At 36.2% G+C, this 18,173-nt stretch overlaps 1 long non-coding RNA gene across 1 annotated transcript in view; it reads right to left on the bottom strand.

The window, feature by feature from the left end:
- Positions 1–18,173, bottom strand: part of LINC02745 (long intergenic non-protein coding RNA 2745) — an 83,737-nt gene that overhangs the window by 35,078 nt on the left and 30,486 nt on the right. The window contains exon 7 of the long non-coding RNA NR_135065.1: positions 2,206–2,326. This is a non-coding gene — a long non-coding RNA (long intergenic non-protein coding RNA 2745). The remainder of the gene's footprint in view (positions 1–2,205; positions 2,327–18,173) is intronic.

Genomic DNA, 18,173 nt, shown 5'->3' on the forward strand with positions numbered 1-18,173 from the left:
ATAATGAAATAATTTTTTCATCTTTCTTTTTTCCCATGTTTTAAAAATTTTTTCAAAAACATGATTTTTAATCTCTGAAAAATACTTTAATATATGTTTAATAGCTTATGAGATACATTCTGTTATCTAACTAATATTAAATTTGTTCCTGAAGAGCTTTCAAAAGTAAGTTTCTGTACCTGGCTTAGAATAGTGCTTATACACTCACATTTCAATAATTCATAATTTATTGTAGAGTCTTCCAATGATACATTTTCTACTAAGAATAATAAGAAAAGAAACAGAAGTCCTGACTGCTAGAATTATTTCAGTATAATATACATGTGCAAACCAGAATCTTATATGTCAAAAAGATGAGCAGATTTAAAGACAGTGGGCTCATTTATATTCTTCTCCCTGTACTATCATTTTGCTGGATAAGCCAAACACACCATAGCACATTTGCTATATTAAAATGGCCATGTGAAATGCTTACTTGCTGGGAGGACCATAGGCTTCATAAACATTTGAAGATACTTGCTTTGTAGGTTTTTGTATTGCAATGCAACTGATGACAGCGAAGAACACATATCTATTTTCTAAAACTAAAGTTTTCTTTCTTCCCTCAACTGTCCATTGGCATCAACTCATAAAGTTCCCTTATTTATCTATCTTCATATGACTTGAGAATACAGGACCAAGGAGTTTCTTACTTCTAAAGATGATAATTTTTGATGCTAACCTCAGTGAGGCTGGTTGTGGAGTTGAATCAGTTAGGGGTTGCTTTAGGAGTTGTTCTTATAGGTCACAGCTGTCAGCATCTCATCTTTATATTTAGTGTAAAATCCTGCCTCCTCTCACTTGCTTTCTTTTTACATTTTAGTTTCTGCAAAATACACAAGAAAAACTCCTTTCTCCTATATACTGAAAAATTCTGGAATTAGTTTGTAATTTTAATGCTATGCTCAGGAGTTGGAATATGAAACTGGGGAGATTCCTTTTCTTCTTCTTTTTATTTATTTATTTATTTTTAGACAGGGTTTCTGTCAGCCAGGCTAGAGCCCAGTGGTGAAGCCATGGCTCACTGCAGCCTCAAACTCCCTTGTCTCAAGCAGTCCCCCTACCTCAGCCTCCCAAGTAGCTGAAATACAGGTATGTGCCACCACAACCAGCTAATTTGCAAATCTTTTGCAGAGATGAGGTCTCACCATGTTGCCCAGTGGTCTCGAACTCCTGGCCTCAAGCAGTCTTCCTATCTTGGCCTCTCAAAGCACTGAGATTACAGGTGTGAGCCACCACACCAGGAAGATTTTTGAAAAACACTTAAGAATAGGATTTCTCAAATTTAGCGCTTCTGAAATTTCGGACTGGAAAATTCTTTGTTGTAGTTCTGCCCTGTACACTCTATGTGTTTAGCAGCATCCCTGTCCCTGGTCTCTTCCCACTTCTGGAGTAGCCCTCCAGTAGTAATAACCGAAACCAAAACAAAAACAGAAACAGAAACAAAAACAAAAACAAAACAAAACAAAAACCTACGGTCATTGCCACGTGTTCCCACAGGATTCAAAACTTTTCTGGTTGAGAACCACTGCTCTTAATTCTGCCCATGACTCTCCTCCAGCCTATACTTTTTAGCATTTTCTCCAGAGACCAAGTAAACACTGTAATTATTTCTGCTATAGTATTTTACAGGATTGTTATTCCTTTAGATTGACTTTACACAGAGACTGGACTTTATTGGGTGCCAGTTATATTTAGTATACTGCCATGTAGACCTTGATTTTCAAATTAATGAGTTGATATGTAACATCTATCTCTCTTTTGGCTGTTAGCAACAGCTGGGCAAAGAGGAAGAAAAAAGAGGGTGAGAGAACTGAAGGTTAGTAGATACTGGTTTAAATCCTCCAATTTCTCAATTATTAGAAGAAGCTAGTTGTATTTATAGGTTTTGACAGCTCTAGCATCGGGTAATAGTTCAGGTGATTATAGTATATTTGATTATACTATAGTTTTATTACAAACACTGTAACACAAAGAAATGATTTTCTCAGTGTTGCATATGTGAGGTAAGCATACTTCTAAATAATAAAGAAAAATAATGTCTATGGTAGGAAAGTCAAGAGTTGGGAGGAAATTTGGTGGACAGGAAATCACTTATTAGTAAGAGTGCTTAGAAACCTTTCAGTTATTGAAGATTTGATACGTTGACCTAAACTCTGTTCTTACCTCCATCTTATCAGAAGTTATCAACTCAGTCTTTTGTGTATTCCTTTTCCTACATCAATGTATCTCAAATTTGACCATTAAGCTCAAAGTAGAATAAGATTCATTCTGTGGGTTTCTATTTCTGTAGAATAAAAGATATGCCTGTCAATATTGGGGAATTGCATGGGTGTTAGCACAAAAAGAAAGGGAAGTTTTCTGTCTTTAATATGTATAGTCAGGACCCAAGCTTCAAGAGTTATGAATGCCCTTATTCTCCTCTTCATTTGTCACCTATTGATGGCAGCAGATTTAACAAGTAGGCCAAACACCTCAGGAGCATTTTAAAAGCTATTTTGTTATTCCAGGATTTCGGGCAAGAATCCCTGCGGACTTGCAAGATCAGGAAGGAGAAAAATGGTCTGAAGTCATAGAGGATGGGTGTTGTAAACTGTCACTGTTAAATCTAAGATCCGTACTTCATTTAGACACTGAGTTTGAAAGCTTTTTTACATCATGACAAAAACATGTTTCCTATATATTAAGTGTCTGTCGATGAAGAGTGTTGAATGCAGATGCGATTTTGACCCTTGTTTGGGCTTTCTAATGACTACAGCACAATTGGAAGAAGGAGGTGAAAACAATTCAGAACTTTCTATTTATAATTTTAGAGACATGAGGAACATAAAAACCCTTTAACATTGTCTTATAATTTAGCAAATGATTTAATTAAAGGAATTTGTTTTCTTTTAAAATAATCTTCATGTTATAGTTTCCCTGCATCTTTAAAATGCAGAGATATTCTGCAGGTTCTGAAAAGTACTCTTGGTCAAGGGAAGAATAATCATTATTTTTTATATTGGATCATTAGTGATTCAGAGTTTTGCAATCATTCAGGGAACAACACAGGATTAGCAAGATATGAATTCAGCAGGGGATTAAGCAGAAAGCCTAATCACTTGCCAGAGTTGAATGAATCTTGAATCTTTCTGGAGGTTGAAAACTATTTGATTAACTCATTAAAAATTATTTTCAGCCCTTGCAGATGTTTCCCAAGAGGAAGCATTATGATTCCATTATAAGCTAGAGTCTCTATGTTAGAAATTCTATTTTGTTATCCTGTTAGCCAGGTGCCTACTATCATAGGTATCAAATATTTCTTGTTGGGAAGGTTTGGATACAACAAGCAAACAATCTAAATTCCAATAACTACAGTATCTGGCAAGAAGAATTATCAAGTTAGACAGAAGGAGATCATGAATGATAGACAAAATATTTCATTCTTTTCTTTTTTCCAAAATGGAAATTGTTAATTTACTCTAATAATTAGAAAAGTATTTTATTCTCATTGTAAACAATTAATTCATTACAGAAAAAATAGAATAAGGTGTATAAAAATGGGCTGTTTTACATAAAGTTAGACATGCTTAACAAGTTGGTTTCTAAAAATACAGACAAGTAAATATTAATTAAAAAACTGAGGGTCCCAATATACATTCTTAGTTGCCACCTTCTTTTTTTAACCAAATAATTTTTCTAAATACCTCTTCAGCCTTATAGATTTACACAATTGTTGTAAATCATGGGATATTTTGTCATTGATCGAATACATAACGATATACCATAGTGTTTAAATGCATGCATTTTGGAGTCAGATAAACCCAAATTTGAGTCTGGACTCTGCTAATTAAAAACTAGATATTCTTGCATTTAGCTTTATCGCTTTAAGTCACAGTCTGTCGTTTATGTATCTGTTTTGTTTTATTGTTTTTAACTGCAGAAGAAGACAAGAGAGATAATAGCAATAACACCTAATTTGTATGTTTTTTATTGTGAGGATGGAATGAGATAAATAAGTGCCATGAATAGTGTGCCCAACATTTGACTCATTGCATGGGCTCAACAAATGTTACGTATTATCATTGTCATAATTCATTTAGCTAATCCTCTATTGCTTAATGTTTGGATTGTTTTCTATTTTCTCTGTTCTAATACTTTGAAGAATCCCTGTGAAATCAAATTTATGAAGTCATTATTTCTCTAGAATCAATTATTGAAAGTGAATTCCAAGGTGTCAGGATTTTTTTTTTTGTTTTTAGAATTTTTATTATTTAGCCAAATTTTCTGCATCCTATAAAGGTGAAACAATTAAAAATCCTATTAGCATTATAGGAGAGAAGGATTTGTTTTACTCCATTTGAAGAGTTAAGATGGTAATTTTTTGATGATGAGCTGTGTAGGTGAGAAAAATCTTCAGGACATTTCAAGCCACTAAAATACTCCTTTAATGGCCTTAAAAGATTTTGAAATCCCTTTGAAAACATTTAAAAACACAACAAAAGTCATGCTCCTTGCTAAACAATTTCCAGAGAAACAGATATTTTATATCCCTCCAACAAAATAATCATTTTTACAATTCAGTAGTGCTATTTTGAGTTCTGTTACTGAATTGAATATAATAATTCTAATGTTTGTAAAGAAAAGCTATATCCCTTACAAGGGTCTATGAATATCACAGTGGTGCAAGGCTTACAGCAGAAAGAGAACAAATTGGAACCAGATGAAATTGGGCTCATATTCTGGGCTAATATGTATTTATTAGTTGTGCAAACATTAAAAGCACTATCAAATATTTCTGATATCTCATATACTCATCCCTACGTAAAGATAATTACACCCTCATGAACATTTCTTTACATTTGCTGATTCAATAGCTCTCCTCTGTTTTTTAACAGAATTCCTCTTTCTTTGGGAAAGTGCTCCTTCCCACTTAACATGGTCTCCAAGGGTCTGTCTATTGCCATACTCTTCTAGTCCAGGGGTATAGAATTTTTCATGCCGCTTAGATTTCATTAATCTTAGTGTCTATCTCCCTAGCCACAAAGTTTCTCACAGTGATGGTACATGGCTCAAGCCAGGCCAACCAGCATCTTCCTAGTTTTTCAGATGATTTAAGCCTGTAACTCCAAGTTGTCCATTCTATTCTGCAGTGTAAGAAATAAGGAATAATGCTACATCATGAAGAGAAAGAGAGGTTGAGGAAGACAGAAACAAAAGTTTCTGAGACTCACATTCTTTAAGGGGTATTAACATTCCTAGAATTCTCAACTATATGAGGCTCTCAATGCTCATTTATGTTTAAAACACTGTCTTCATCTATTTTCTGTTGCTTATTTCAGAATACCTGAAACTAGGTAGTTTATAGGTTAAAGGGATTTATTTCTTATGGAGGCAGAAATGTGGTCAAGGGGCCACATTTGATGAGGGCCTTCTTGCTGGTAGTATCTCCGTAGACAGTCCTGAGATGACACAGGGCATCACATGGTGAGGGGACTGAGTGTGCTAACATGCTATGCTCAGTTCTCTTTTTCTTCTTATAAATCCACCATGATACTCCATTAATCCACTAATGCTTTAAATCATTAATCCATAAGTGGATTAATCCATTCATGAAGGCAGAGTCCTTATGATCTAATCATCTCTTAAAGATCTTACTTCTCAATACTGCCACATTGGGGATTAAGTTTCAACATGAGTTTAGAGGGAACATTGAAACCATAGCACATGGCTTGTGTTATGACTTTGTCACTTGCAACATAAAGGGTCTTAGTAAAAAAATCTATCCCATGGGGTGCTGTATGTGTTGATTGAGATATAGTATTTAAAGTAGCCAGCATAGGACCTTCCATATAAAAGTCCCTTTCTTTTCTTATTAAAATTCTTATTTATTTTTAACAGCTGTCAATGTCCAATGAGAATGTGGGTGTAGGATGAAGAATAAATAGTTCAGCACCCTTCCTTTAAGTTCTTTCTAAAACTCTCGGATGGCTTAGACAACAATTAAATGTTGACTTGACTTGGTAAGAAAATCTAGTCTTTATTTTCCCCTCCTCAGTTCTCAATGATTTAGCAATTAAAGCTTTACTACTTTCATATTATATCCTGGCAATGTTAAGTATACTTAGAATTTAAAGAAAAGGCTGGACTTGAGTAGAAATATTCATTAAAGAAACCAAAGGAACAATAACTACAAGTGACAGCAAAGGGAAGTCGAATGATATAACGAATTTCCCCTAGAATTCCAGTGCTGATGCTGCCCTTAGTGGGATGATCTCAACAAACCTCATTTAACCTCCCTGGACTACAGTTGTAGAAGGAGAGAATTGATAAATGATCCTTTCTGGTGCCAACACTTAATGTTATGATTTTGTGTAGCAGCAAACCATGTGGACCTTCCAACTTGCTGTGTCATTAAAAGGTTGGTATATTTTCACTCTTCAGACATCCGACAAGATATAATTACAAAAGAACTACATTTCCATGTATTCCTATGGTGATTATAGGTGAATGAAGAAAGGCAACTAAGTCTAGCCAGGAGCTTAAGTTGTGAGTTGCTAAGTGACTTTGGACAAATCACTTCCTTCTTGGGCCTTTATTTGTTTTGATTGAAAACAGTGGTCTTTATTATATTTCTACCAAAGAACCCTCTGCAAATGACATGACTGTAGATTCTGCTGGTTCTAACAGGAATGGAGGGTGAAAGCCTCACCCACTCAGACTCTCCCTGTTCCTGGCTAAGGTCTCTGAGTCATCCCACAGAGAGGAGGATCTCTCAGAAATGTGTTTTCACAAATAGAGAGTCACTTCCATTATACAATTCCATAACATCATGAGTAAAAAACTGATTTGGCTCATTTTATTCTTGTGTTCTTTATTAGAATAAGGCAGCCTACAAAAAATTTAAATGTAGTACTTTCTCAAAATTGAGCTTAAATAGATTATTTTTAAATAGGGATGTCTAAGAGTATCTTATTTATATTATAATGTCCTAGGCCAAAGTTTTAAAGCTATAATAATCAAAGATTAGTTTTGCTTATTTGTATTTTCTTTTTATTGCTGTTTATACTAAACATTCTCACTTAAGAATCGCTTTTGGAATGAATAACGTATGATGCCATGTTTAGGGTAACCAACAATTCCAGTTTCCCTGGGACTGCCCTGGTTTTAGTGCTGAAAGTCCCTAATCCCAGGAAATTTTTTAGTTCTGGGATAACCGGAAGAGTAGGTCACCATTGTCAATCATCTTGTTGGACTAGAAAGCAATTTTTGAAAATTGATTGACCACATTGTAATTGAAAAATAATGAAGGTGATGACCCAAAGAAAAAAAAAAGGGATATGTACCCTCTTCTGGCTTAACCTGGCACATGAGCCAAACCCACTCATTCTGTCTTACTGCTGGGCTGCACCTCTATCTTGCACTCTGCTCTGGGCTCACCCTCAGGGCATTGGGTACCATCACAAGTCCTAGGATTCTTCTGCCTAGGACTCATCCACTTCTACTTGCCTGTATTACGGTCAAGGCAAAACTGTAACTCTGGATTAATTTTCCATTGCTGCTGCCACAAATTACACCAAATGTAGTTGCTTAAAACAGTGCAAAAGTATTATCTTACCATTCCGGAGATCAGAGGTTTATCATGGACATCACAGGGTTAAAATCAAGGTGTTAGCAGGGCTACATTCCTTCTGGAGGCTCTAGGAAAGGCTCTGCCCTCTTACATTCACCAGTTTCTTGATATCACCTGTTATTTCTGACTTGTGGTGTCCTACTCCATCTTCAAAGCCAGCACTGTTGCATCTCTCTGTGTCTTTCTTCCATGGTCACCTTTCCCTTCTACTTCCCTCTTTCCCCTTTAAGAACTCTTGTAACTATTACATTGGACCTACCTGGATAATCCAAGGTAAACTTCCTATTTTAAGGTCAACTGATTAGGAACCTTAATTTCATCTACAACCTTAATGCCTCTATGCTATATAGTATAATATATTCACAGGCTCCACGGGATTAGAATGTGGATATGTTTGAGGGCGCCATTAATCTGCTTACCACACTATGTATCAAATTATTTAATGCTCACTCGTTAAGATTAGGAAGCAAGGTTTACAGTTATCACTGAGATCAACCCACAATACTTGGTATATATTTAGGAAAATTAAATAATTTATCTTTCAAACCAGAATACTTTTTTTTTTTTCTTTTTTTGAGATGTAGTCTCACTCTGTCACCCAGGCTGGAGTGCAATGGCGTGATCTCGGCTCACTGCACCCTCCGCCTCCCAGGTTCAAGCAATTTTCCTGCCTCAGCTTCCCAAGTAGCTGGGACTACAACCATGCCTGGCTAGTTCTTTTGTCTTAGTAGAGACGAAGTGGCACCATGCTGGCCAGGCTGGTCTCAAATTCCTGACCTCAGGTGATCCACCCGCCTCGGCCTCCCAAAGTGCTGGGATTACAGGCATGAGCCACCTCGCCCAGCCCGAATACTTTTTGGAGTGAAAGAGGTACTCTTAGTAATTCCTACAAGAAGGTAGGCATAAATTGTTCTAGTCCAGGAAAAGTAGGACACTGCATATAACATTCCACAAATATATGTTGAACTTAATATAGTTTATAGATCTTTCATCAAATAATCAGTTACATGCTAGGTGGCTTGAGAATCCAGGAGATACACTCTGTTGGGCAGAAATGATTCCTGAATGAAAAACTGTAAGTGAGATAAATTTTGTGATATACTTTATAAAGCATAGTTTAGAGAAGACAGAGTATCAGTGAAGGCTGATGTTTACTAGAAAGTCACACGGAAGAGTTGGGAAACTGAAAATAACATAATAGTACAGCAAAATTTAAATAAAAATGCTGATAATTTCCCACAAATTAAATCACATTTCATTTTCTTCTAGCCATATTCAAATACATAAATATTACAAGGCTGATGATAGTATTTTGTGTCCTGCTTTCTTTACTGAAAATATAAGCGTCTTCATGTTCTGTCACGATTTTCATAATTATTTCAACAACCATTACATAGTCTCTAGTTGAACAATATTGATGTGGCTTCCAAAATTCACCAAGCATAAATGATACTGAAAAACATCTGAACCATGGCTCTTCATTTTTTAATGCTGGCTATATTATTAATCCAGTTTCAGAAGTGAGTAGATGGATGTCCTTTAGGTAAATTGAAGTATGGTTGCCTGGGGAAGTCAAAGGAACAAAATGAGACCATATGCAGGTCTGTAGTGGCTGAATGATGGCTCCCCAAAGATGTCAACGTCCTAATTCCCAAACTGTGGATGTGACCGTATATGGCCAAAAAGACTTTGCAGACATAATTAAATTAAGGATCTTGAGATAGGGAGATTATCATAAATTATCTGGGTGGGTCCAATGTAGTCACAAGTCTCCTTAGAAACTGGAGGCAGGGGAGTCAGTCCAAGGAAATGATGTGATTTCAGGGGCAGAGTCTGTTAACAGAAGGCGACAACACTGTGCAGCCGCCTTTGAAGATGGACAAAGGGGGCACTAGCCAAGAAATGCATATGACTCCTAGAAATTGGCAAAGGCAAGGAAATGAATTCTCCTCTAGAGCCTTCAGAAGGAAAAAGCCTGTTAGCATCTTTTTGGCCCAGTGAGACTGATTTTAGACTTCTCACACCTAGAACTTTGAAACAATAAATTTGTGTTGCTTTAAGCCACTAAGTTTGTGGTAACGTATCATAGTGGCAACTGGAAACTAATAAAAGGCCATATACCAGGCCATAGAGTTAGGAATGAGAATGGCATCATTTGGATATTGAAGAGCAGCCCTCTCTGAGCAGGGTATTCACATTGAAGAAGTAGGTTCACAGAAGGTAAAGGTGAGGTGGAAGCAGTGGGTGAATATTTGGCAACAGACTGATGGTCTCAAGTCCAAACTCTGCTATAAACTCAAGTAACTTAATAAGTTGTTTTGCAAAAGAGGAAAAATGCAATTAACCTTCTGGACATTTTTGAAAATTAGAATATTACAATAGTTAAAAGCATGGATCTTGTAGCTTTAGCAAGCTTAGCTCAAGTCCTTTGGTTCAACTGTCAATTACTAATTATGTGGATTTGACTGTGTTACTTACCTCTCAAAGTTATTTCCACATTTCTAAAATAATGTTACTAATTGAGCCTCCTTCATGTGGTTGTTAGGAAGATTGTATGTAGATAGTGCAATATCATGTATGCAGTGCAATAAATAAATGTGTATATTGAATCGATGGTCAATACATGCCAAGTCCCAACATCTGGGAGTGTGCACAAGTGTTCATTCATTTATTCAGGAGTTATTTATTAAATTTCCACCCTGTATTAGGCACTTTAAAAGGTCTCAGGCTGCAATGAGACATAATAGACAGGTCCCCTGCCCTTGTAGAACATATGTAATGGTTTCCTTTCTTTCTTTTTTGAAAATGAGTGAGATTTTCAGCATTTTCCAATGATCTCACCTTACTGAAGTCACTACTTCAATCTGAAGTGAGAAGCTCCTCTATGATAAATTCTATTTATGGTTTTGGGGAGCTGTCACGGTAACAAGCCACCCTTTTAGGCTGCATGGTGTCACTGCTCCTTGATAATATAACTACCACCTCCAGTTGGCACTAGGTTAATGACATATTAGAGAAAATGACTTTCAAGAATTTCTCATTTATGATGTAAGCCAGAAAAAAATATTTCCTTTGCTGAAGTTCCTGGCACTTCCCTAAAACACTTAATAATTAACCTTTCTTACAAAAAATAACGTGGCAGTTAGAAAAGCACAGAGATATTTATTTTCACTCCCCATAGGACTAAGAAAGGTAGTGATCAGGCTGGCCTGAAGAGATCATACTGTTATAATGAAAGAAGGCTCAACTAGTAGGGGGTATAATAAATGTAAGCCCGAAGTAAATGAATCATTATAAAATATACACTCCATCTCCACAATGAGTCTATTTCATTAAAATAATCTCTGGAATAATGTCGTCCTCTCTTGGCTTTCTCCTACTGTGAATCTATCCATGATTTCACCATTACAAATCTTGTACCCTGAGGACATATTTGTAATAAGAATGAAGGGTTTGGTTATTTGCTTTTAATAACTATGCCTCTCAAATCCTCCTTAATGCAGCAGAGATTCTGTTTGGAAGAACATGCCAGAATTATTGAAGGATCAATCAATATTGGCAATTAATCATAATCACAGCTGGTAATCATAGCTGCAATTACCAATTGATTAATTAGGACAGCTCTTGAAATGCCAGCAGAAATTTAGTTTCATATTAGATTCAGCCCAATAACCATAAACTTCTACAATTACTTTTCAGCTTACCATTATTTATGTCATATTTCTTTCTATTATTAGCTGCTATATTTATTTATTCATCATTTTATTTGAGCAGGCCAAACTCTTTTACTGTCTTTTTATGGTAGAAATCTATTAAAATATGTTTAAGTCATAGCATTAAATAAATCTAGTGTCAGTGCTAAGCAAATATTTGCAAATTTAGGACATCTATTTGCATTGCTTTCCAGGCCAAGAATTATTTTTTTGCCAAAAAACAGAATTCAAATATATTCTCCATATTGTAAATTGGATAACATCAGTACATTAAATTTATGTGTGCAAAGAGTTATGTGGTTTATTAACCCACTTTTGCAGGCTTCATAGAAGAAATTTTACACAGCTTTTTTTTTTAATGATAAGCCTATGATCCAGATGAACCACAACCCCCTAATCTGATCTTCAATTATGACATGCTAAGAATATACGTTAAGGAAATTAGGAAAAATCTAATGTAAATAGAGCAGGGGATCTGCTTAAGAAATTCAGCGTATGTTCACTTATTTGTTTTAAAATTGTGAATTGTATAAAGCCAGTGTAAATCACCACTACTTCACTCATACTTTGATTCAACAAACAGCTTTTAAATACTCACTATATGCAAAACAACATGCTAGGCACTGAAGGAGATAAGAGAGAAATGAAGCTTGTTTTCTTATCTTGAGTCCATGGTCCAATAAAGGAGATGAGATATGGACCCCTGCATAAGAACAAGAGTCACTCATGCAGATGAACAGAAAGAACAGAATTTTAAAAAGTAAAATATGGAAAAAAAGACATTTATCAAGATTTACCATTTTTATAGGCCTTCTGTTTCTTTAAATCTATTTGCAGAATCAAAGATACAGTTTTACTCATCTGCATTTCAAATTTATCTTTATTCAAAGATTTACTCTCTTTTCCAAGTCTCTGTGTTCAAATCCTTCTAATTTGTCAGCATTAATTTGTTATTAACTTGATCTTGTATTTCATTCACAATTTCTTAACTGCTAATTGCAAAAATTGATGGAATAAAATAATCCTACTTTCATCAGACGCATAAAACCCAGGAACATCTAACCATATATGCTCAACAGATTAAGTTGATAATCATTAAACTGAAGTAAATAATAAACAAGTTTTTAGTTGCATATGTTCTATTTTGTTGTTGAGCTTCCAATAGTTAATGAAGAGACATATTTTGTGTGGCTCACACTGTCTGGATTTGTACCATATGTTCATCCATGTGATGAAGGCATGCTCTATGTAAGTAACTAATTCTCCCTCAACCCCACTCCATTTGCAGCTAGCTACAAACTGCTGTGCTGTGCAGAAAATGTTCACTCATCTTCAAAGAGGTTAATTCAAACTGGGAAACAGGAGCTGTTGCTAACTAATAGACATTTATGAAGGCTACATTAGGGTGGAAATTTTGATAGCATTTTGTATTACATCCATATTAATAGCAAATTACCTTAGCATGGATAATAGCATTCCACAATGAACACCCAAGGAATTAGGTACTATTAGTTTTGTCCTCAAAAGCACTGTCTGCTTCTAAAGAAGTGAATTCTGAAAAATGGACGCCATGGGACTCATACATCCTTAGATATTCCAGTGCTCCCAACCCACTCTGAGTTCTATCATTACAGCCTCCAGTCTGCTAGGCCATGCAAATCCCTATGCTCCTGGGAGAAGAGTAATAGGAGTCATACATTGTGTAAGTGCTGCTGATTCAACTCCCATTTCCCTCAATACAACTCAAGGAAATGTCCATTCAGTGAAACAATCTTTCAAAAAGAAAAGGAGAAGTGGCTGTTTTTAAACATCATCTTTTTAACAGATGAGATGTCACAGTCTCCTGGCAAGTGAATACTTCAGTGGCATAGTTCTTTGATTTGTAACAGTTATAAAACAGCTATTCCTAGAGCAGATTTAATTACGAGAGTAAGCAGTTTGGAGGGACTAATTCATATTGCAATGCTTTGGTTGGCACAAAAAATAAGGCTGTCATAACTAGCCCTACCTGCTCCCTCCAATTATGTTGTTGCATATTCCACAGCAAGAGTTCCATTAGGTTATTAACTTCAGATAAAGCCAAAAAAAATGATCTGGGTAGACCTTGGCTGACCTGAACAGGTCTGAATTGTGAGTATGATGCACATATCAAAGACAGCTAAAGATGGGAGCTGAATATGTTAAGAAAGTTTGAGTGGCCCTGTCAATATGTCATATATTCCAAGTGTCATGGGAAAACACTGTGAGTATTATCTACAGATTAAAGCTTTTGATTTTAAAAAATTTATGTTGCAATAAACCAGAACAATTCATAACATCCCTTTAATAGCACATTTATCAATGACATTAATGGTAATAATGATGGTAATAGCACAGCAAGGATGTTGGAGAAAAAATTTACCCCAAAGAGCTGGGAATACAAATTTTATCATTTGAGCCATCATAAAATACTTGTGTAGGTATCTTCCTTTCCTAGTAGAGAACACATAATTCTTAAAGAGCAAAGGCAGAAAAATTCTTGTTATCTCTTTATCCCAACATTTTTTTCCCTGTTTTGCTGAAGGATGGAGTGGATTATAATTCCTCTTTTACAGGTAGTCCCTTTGATGTACAAAGAAGTGCTCTACTCACCTCTTATGAGGCCTTTGACTTTAGAAGAAAAAAAGGTGCCTTTATTAAAGTTCAAACTTCACTTTCTGACCATATTGATCTCTCTCTCCTTCTGTCCTCCTAGCTACTGTCTTTCCTTGGCCTAATCCAACTGTAAGCCAGAGGCCAAAGACTTCAAGTAAAACAGTCTTCAGGGACCAGTCCCCTTGAGACCTCTACGGCACAGAACAGGATAGAGAAAGGTGAAGAATGGGCCGGGTGCGGTATCTCATGCCTGTAATCCCAGCACTTTGGGAGGGGGAGGCGGGTGGATCACGAGGTCAGGAGATCGACACCATCCTGGCTAACATGGTGAAACCCCGTTTCTACTAAAAATACAAAAAAATTAGCCGGGCATGGTGGCGGGTGCCTGTAGTCCCAGCTACTGAGGAGGCTGAGGCAGGAGAATGGTGTGAACCTGGGAGGTGGAGGTTGCAGTGAGCCAAGATTGTGCCACTGCACTTCAGCCTAGGCAACAGAGCGAGACTCCGTCTCAAAAAAAAAAAAAAAAAAAAAAGAAAAGAAAAAAGAAAAAAAGAAAAAAAAAGGTGAAGAATGGATGGTGTTGGAGGTGAGAACATTCAGTGACTGTACCACCCAGGAGAAAGTGTGTAAATAGGGAGACACCAACATTAGTTATTTTATTGTTCTTAAAAGTATTTTTGTCATCATCATCATCATACAAAAAGGAAAAGGTCTTGATAACAAGTCATATTTTGTATGCCAACTTTAAATTTTTTTAAAATGTCAGGTCATATCGGCTGTCAGAATGAGTAAGAGTTCTTTATGATTTAGTAAGTTTGGTGTTTTGCTTGACAGGGCTGATACAGACACTTGGAAAGGACATCCAGGATTAATTACATATTATTTATTTATTTAGAGGCAGAGTCTCACCTAGTTGACCAGGCTAGAGTTCAGTGGCACCATTATACCTCACTGTGGCCTCAAACTCCTGGGCTCAAGTGATTCTCCCACCTGCCAAGTAGCTGGGACTACAGTTGTGTACCACAGTAGCCAGCTCCCAGATTCGTTATATTTCTATACCTTTGCATAACTATTTGACCCACACCACTTCTCACTTCTCCACTTCTCCACTTCCTTCATTTGGCCTCATTCATTCACAAATATGCTGCTATTTAGTTGGCCTGGTACCATTCCTAGTTTCCAAACGGGTTCCCAGATAGTAAAGGAGCAAAGCTGTATAATTGGCAGGTGGATTCCATCAGATACTGAGCAGAGAGCCTACTTTTTTAATAAAAGTTGGATCAAGAGTCTTAAATTTGACATTCTTTAGGAGCCACCAATGCATTGGTCTTTCTTAAAACAAGATCTCCCTCCTCCATTTCTCCCATTCTAGATTTTCTTTCTGTGATCTTTTGTCTCTGTTCCCTCCTTCCTTTCCTCTTACAATTTATCAAATCTTGAAATTTCATAACAGATTGGGGTTTGCTTTAAAATCAAGCCCCTTTTCGGTTTTCTCTTGCTCTCTTATCCCAAAAAGAAAAGTTATATCTGTAGAGAAATGCAGTGTATCAGTCCTGATGAAGCAAACAATCTAGCAAAGCATATCTATATTATCCACTGGGATTATAGATTGAGTTTATGTCTCTGGTTGGGTCCACGTGTCCATATATCATTAAAAGAAAAAACTCTTCAGTTATCCTTTAAATGTTTTGCATGCCTAAAATAGACTATTAGGATAAGCTAAACTACTGGAACAAATGATACAAAATGTAAGAAGTCAAGAGCAATGAGATTATTTGTCCTTCACATAAAAATCTAGCAAATTTCCAAGTCAGTGTGGTTCAAGGCAGGGGGCTAGGGATCTGGAAGAGATTGCTTCATGCTGTTAGGAACAGATTTTGGTGGTTCTGCCGTCATCAGCCGTGGGTGTGTAAAGTCTCTGTGACTGCAATCATTACCTCTGTAGCTCATGAGAAAGGGGGAAGGCCACGTAGAAAGATTTTCATGAAAAAGGTTGAAAGTGATATACATCCTTCAGCTCAAATCCTATTGGAAAGAATTCAGTCACATGGTCACCTTTCACACAAAGGATGCTTGGAAATGTTCTACAGGTGGCATATGGCTTCCCAGGTCTCTAGGGAAAAAGAGTCTTTGTGTTTTATACACAAAACTGTTGATTGATTTAATGTTTTAAATTTATTCATTATAGTAAAATCTTGAGACAAATAAGTGTGGAAAAGGCTGCGGAAGTTCTCCCTGTTTCCATTGTTTCTATTTTGCTTTCCATCTCCTTTTCTCTCTGTCTCCCCCACTTCCTTCCTCCTTCTTTGTGTGTAATACACACATAAACACACACATGCACACACACACACTTCTATTCACTCAAGGATAAATTTCTAAGATTATGAGATCAGATTATATTTTGCTTTAATCAGTGGTGTGACGCTTAATGTTTAACATCTAGATCTCACACACACACACATGAGAAAACCCCAGAGTTCACCTTGACTTGTAGCATTTGCCAATTTATGTGGTGTACTCTTCCCACAATGGCCTATTTTAGGTTATCAACATGATGCCACTACACGTGGAGTTGGAAAGGATGCGTAGTAGCACACCATTATATATGTGGTCTATAATATGGGTTCAGTAGATATAAATAGCTTTAAAAGCAGTAAAATAATTGGAACATGAGAAGCTTTGAGTATTTATTACCTTTGCTTTTAATAAAAGTTTATATAATTTAAATTTTAATACTGGCTGTTTTTAACAACCAGCTCACACAATCTTGAAAATTTAATAATCAGCTCTCAGGCACAATTAAGTCCAGCACAACACTGCCTTTACTATATCCTCCTAGTGTTCAACCATATTTTCTCATTCCCACATCTCTTCCTAACTTATATATTTCCCCTGTGTAGCATTCCCTAATCTCTCTGGCCAAGTTGAACAACTCTTATCCCTCAGGCTTTTTTCCTCTAAATTCTGAATTCTCACTATTATTATTTTTAATTAAATTACTCCATGAAAACTACACTAACAAGTTAATTCTCATATTTGTTGGTATACAGAGGATGGGTAACAATAGTGATCTTTCCATCACTGTTAAGAAAGCCACAGTCCAGATTACACATCCTAGGGCTATGATGGAGGTAGGAGCTGGAAAATGTTTCCAGCTCAGAGTAGGCGCTTGCCAACAACAGTAACAACAACAACAAAAAGACAGAGTAAATATAAATCTGCAAACAGAATCTTAATTGAAATATTTTATAGCATTACTATACCAGCAGATTCTTTTCAGACCAACACACATGCACGCACACATACATACACACCTACCCCTGGTGGAACATAATTACCAAACTGCTTGACCAAAGGAAACACACTCCCTAGAAATAAACAAAATTTCTAATGTGGATTTTGCTACTTCAGAACAAAGACCTCCTCATTCTGATATTTGGAAATCCTGCATCATGATAGCAGTCCTTTCACCTACTTGCCCTAAAGCAAGGACTAGCAGTTAACATTTTCTATTCCTAGGAAGGTGGTGTATCAGGAAATGGACCAACCTATATATGATATTTATTATGGCAGATCATATCATTGTTCTTGACTATTCATATTTCTTAGGAGAAACATAAATCCCCTATTGTCATGAGATTTATTGGACTTCCACTGGGAGGAATATACATACACCCCATCCCATTGATATTGGACTTGATCTGTGTGACTAACTTAGACAAATGGGATGTGAGTGGATGTGATTTAAGCATGACTAAGTGTAAGCTTTAGGAGCCAGTAAAGAGTTAAGAGCCAGTCATCTTGCTCTGCCAAAAAAAAAAAAAAAAAAAAAAAAAAAAAAGTCATCTCCCAAATACAGGCTGCTTCTTCAGCCTGACTCTTGGAATAAAGACAACCCACGAAGCAGAGAAGAGCTGAGCTGTAGCTGGTCTGCAGCCACCAACATGTGACAAGAGTGAGAAATAAATTGTGTTTTGGTATGCCTATAAGATTTTTAAATTGATACTGCTGCATAAGTTAGCAAAACTTAGAATAAAACACATTTAAAATGTGTAATCGTTTTTAGATAATTTTTCTAAAATTCATTTTGTACCCGTTTCATTTGAAGTATTACCAGATTCTTGAATCATTACTTTTCCTCCTGTTGCTCTATGAGTTTTACTCTACTTCTTGCT

This window comes from Homo sapiens, chromosome 11 (assembly GCF_000001405.40).
Source record: "Homo sapiens chromosome 11, GRCh38.p14 Primary Assembly".
Classification (NCBI taxonomy): Eukaryota; Metazoa; Chordata; class Mammalia; order Primates; family Hominidae; genus Homo; species Homo sapiens.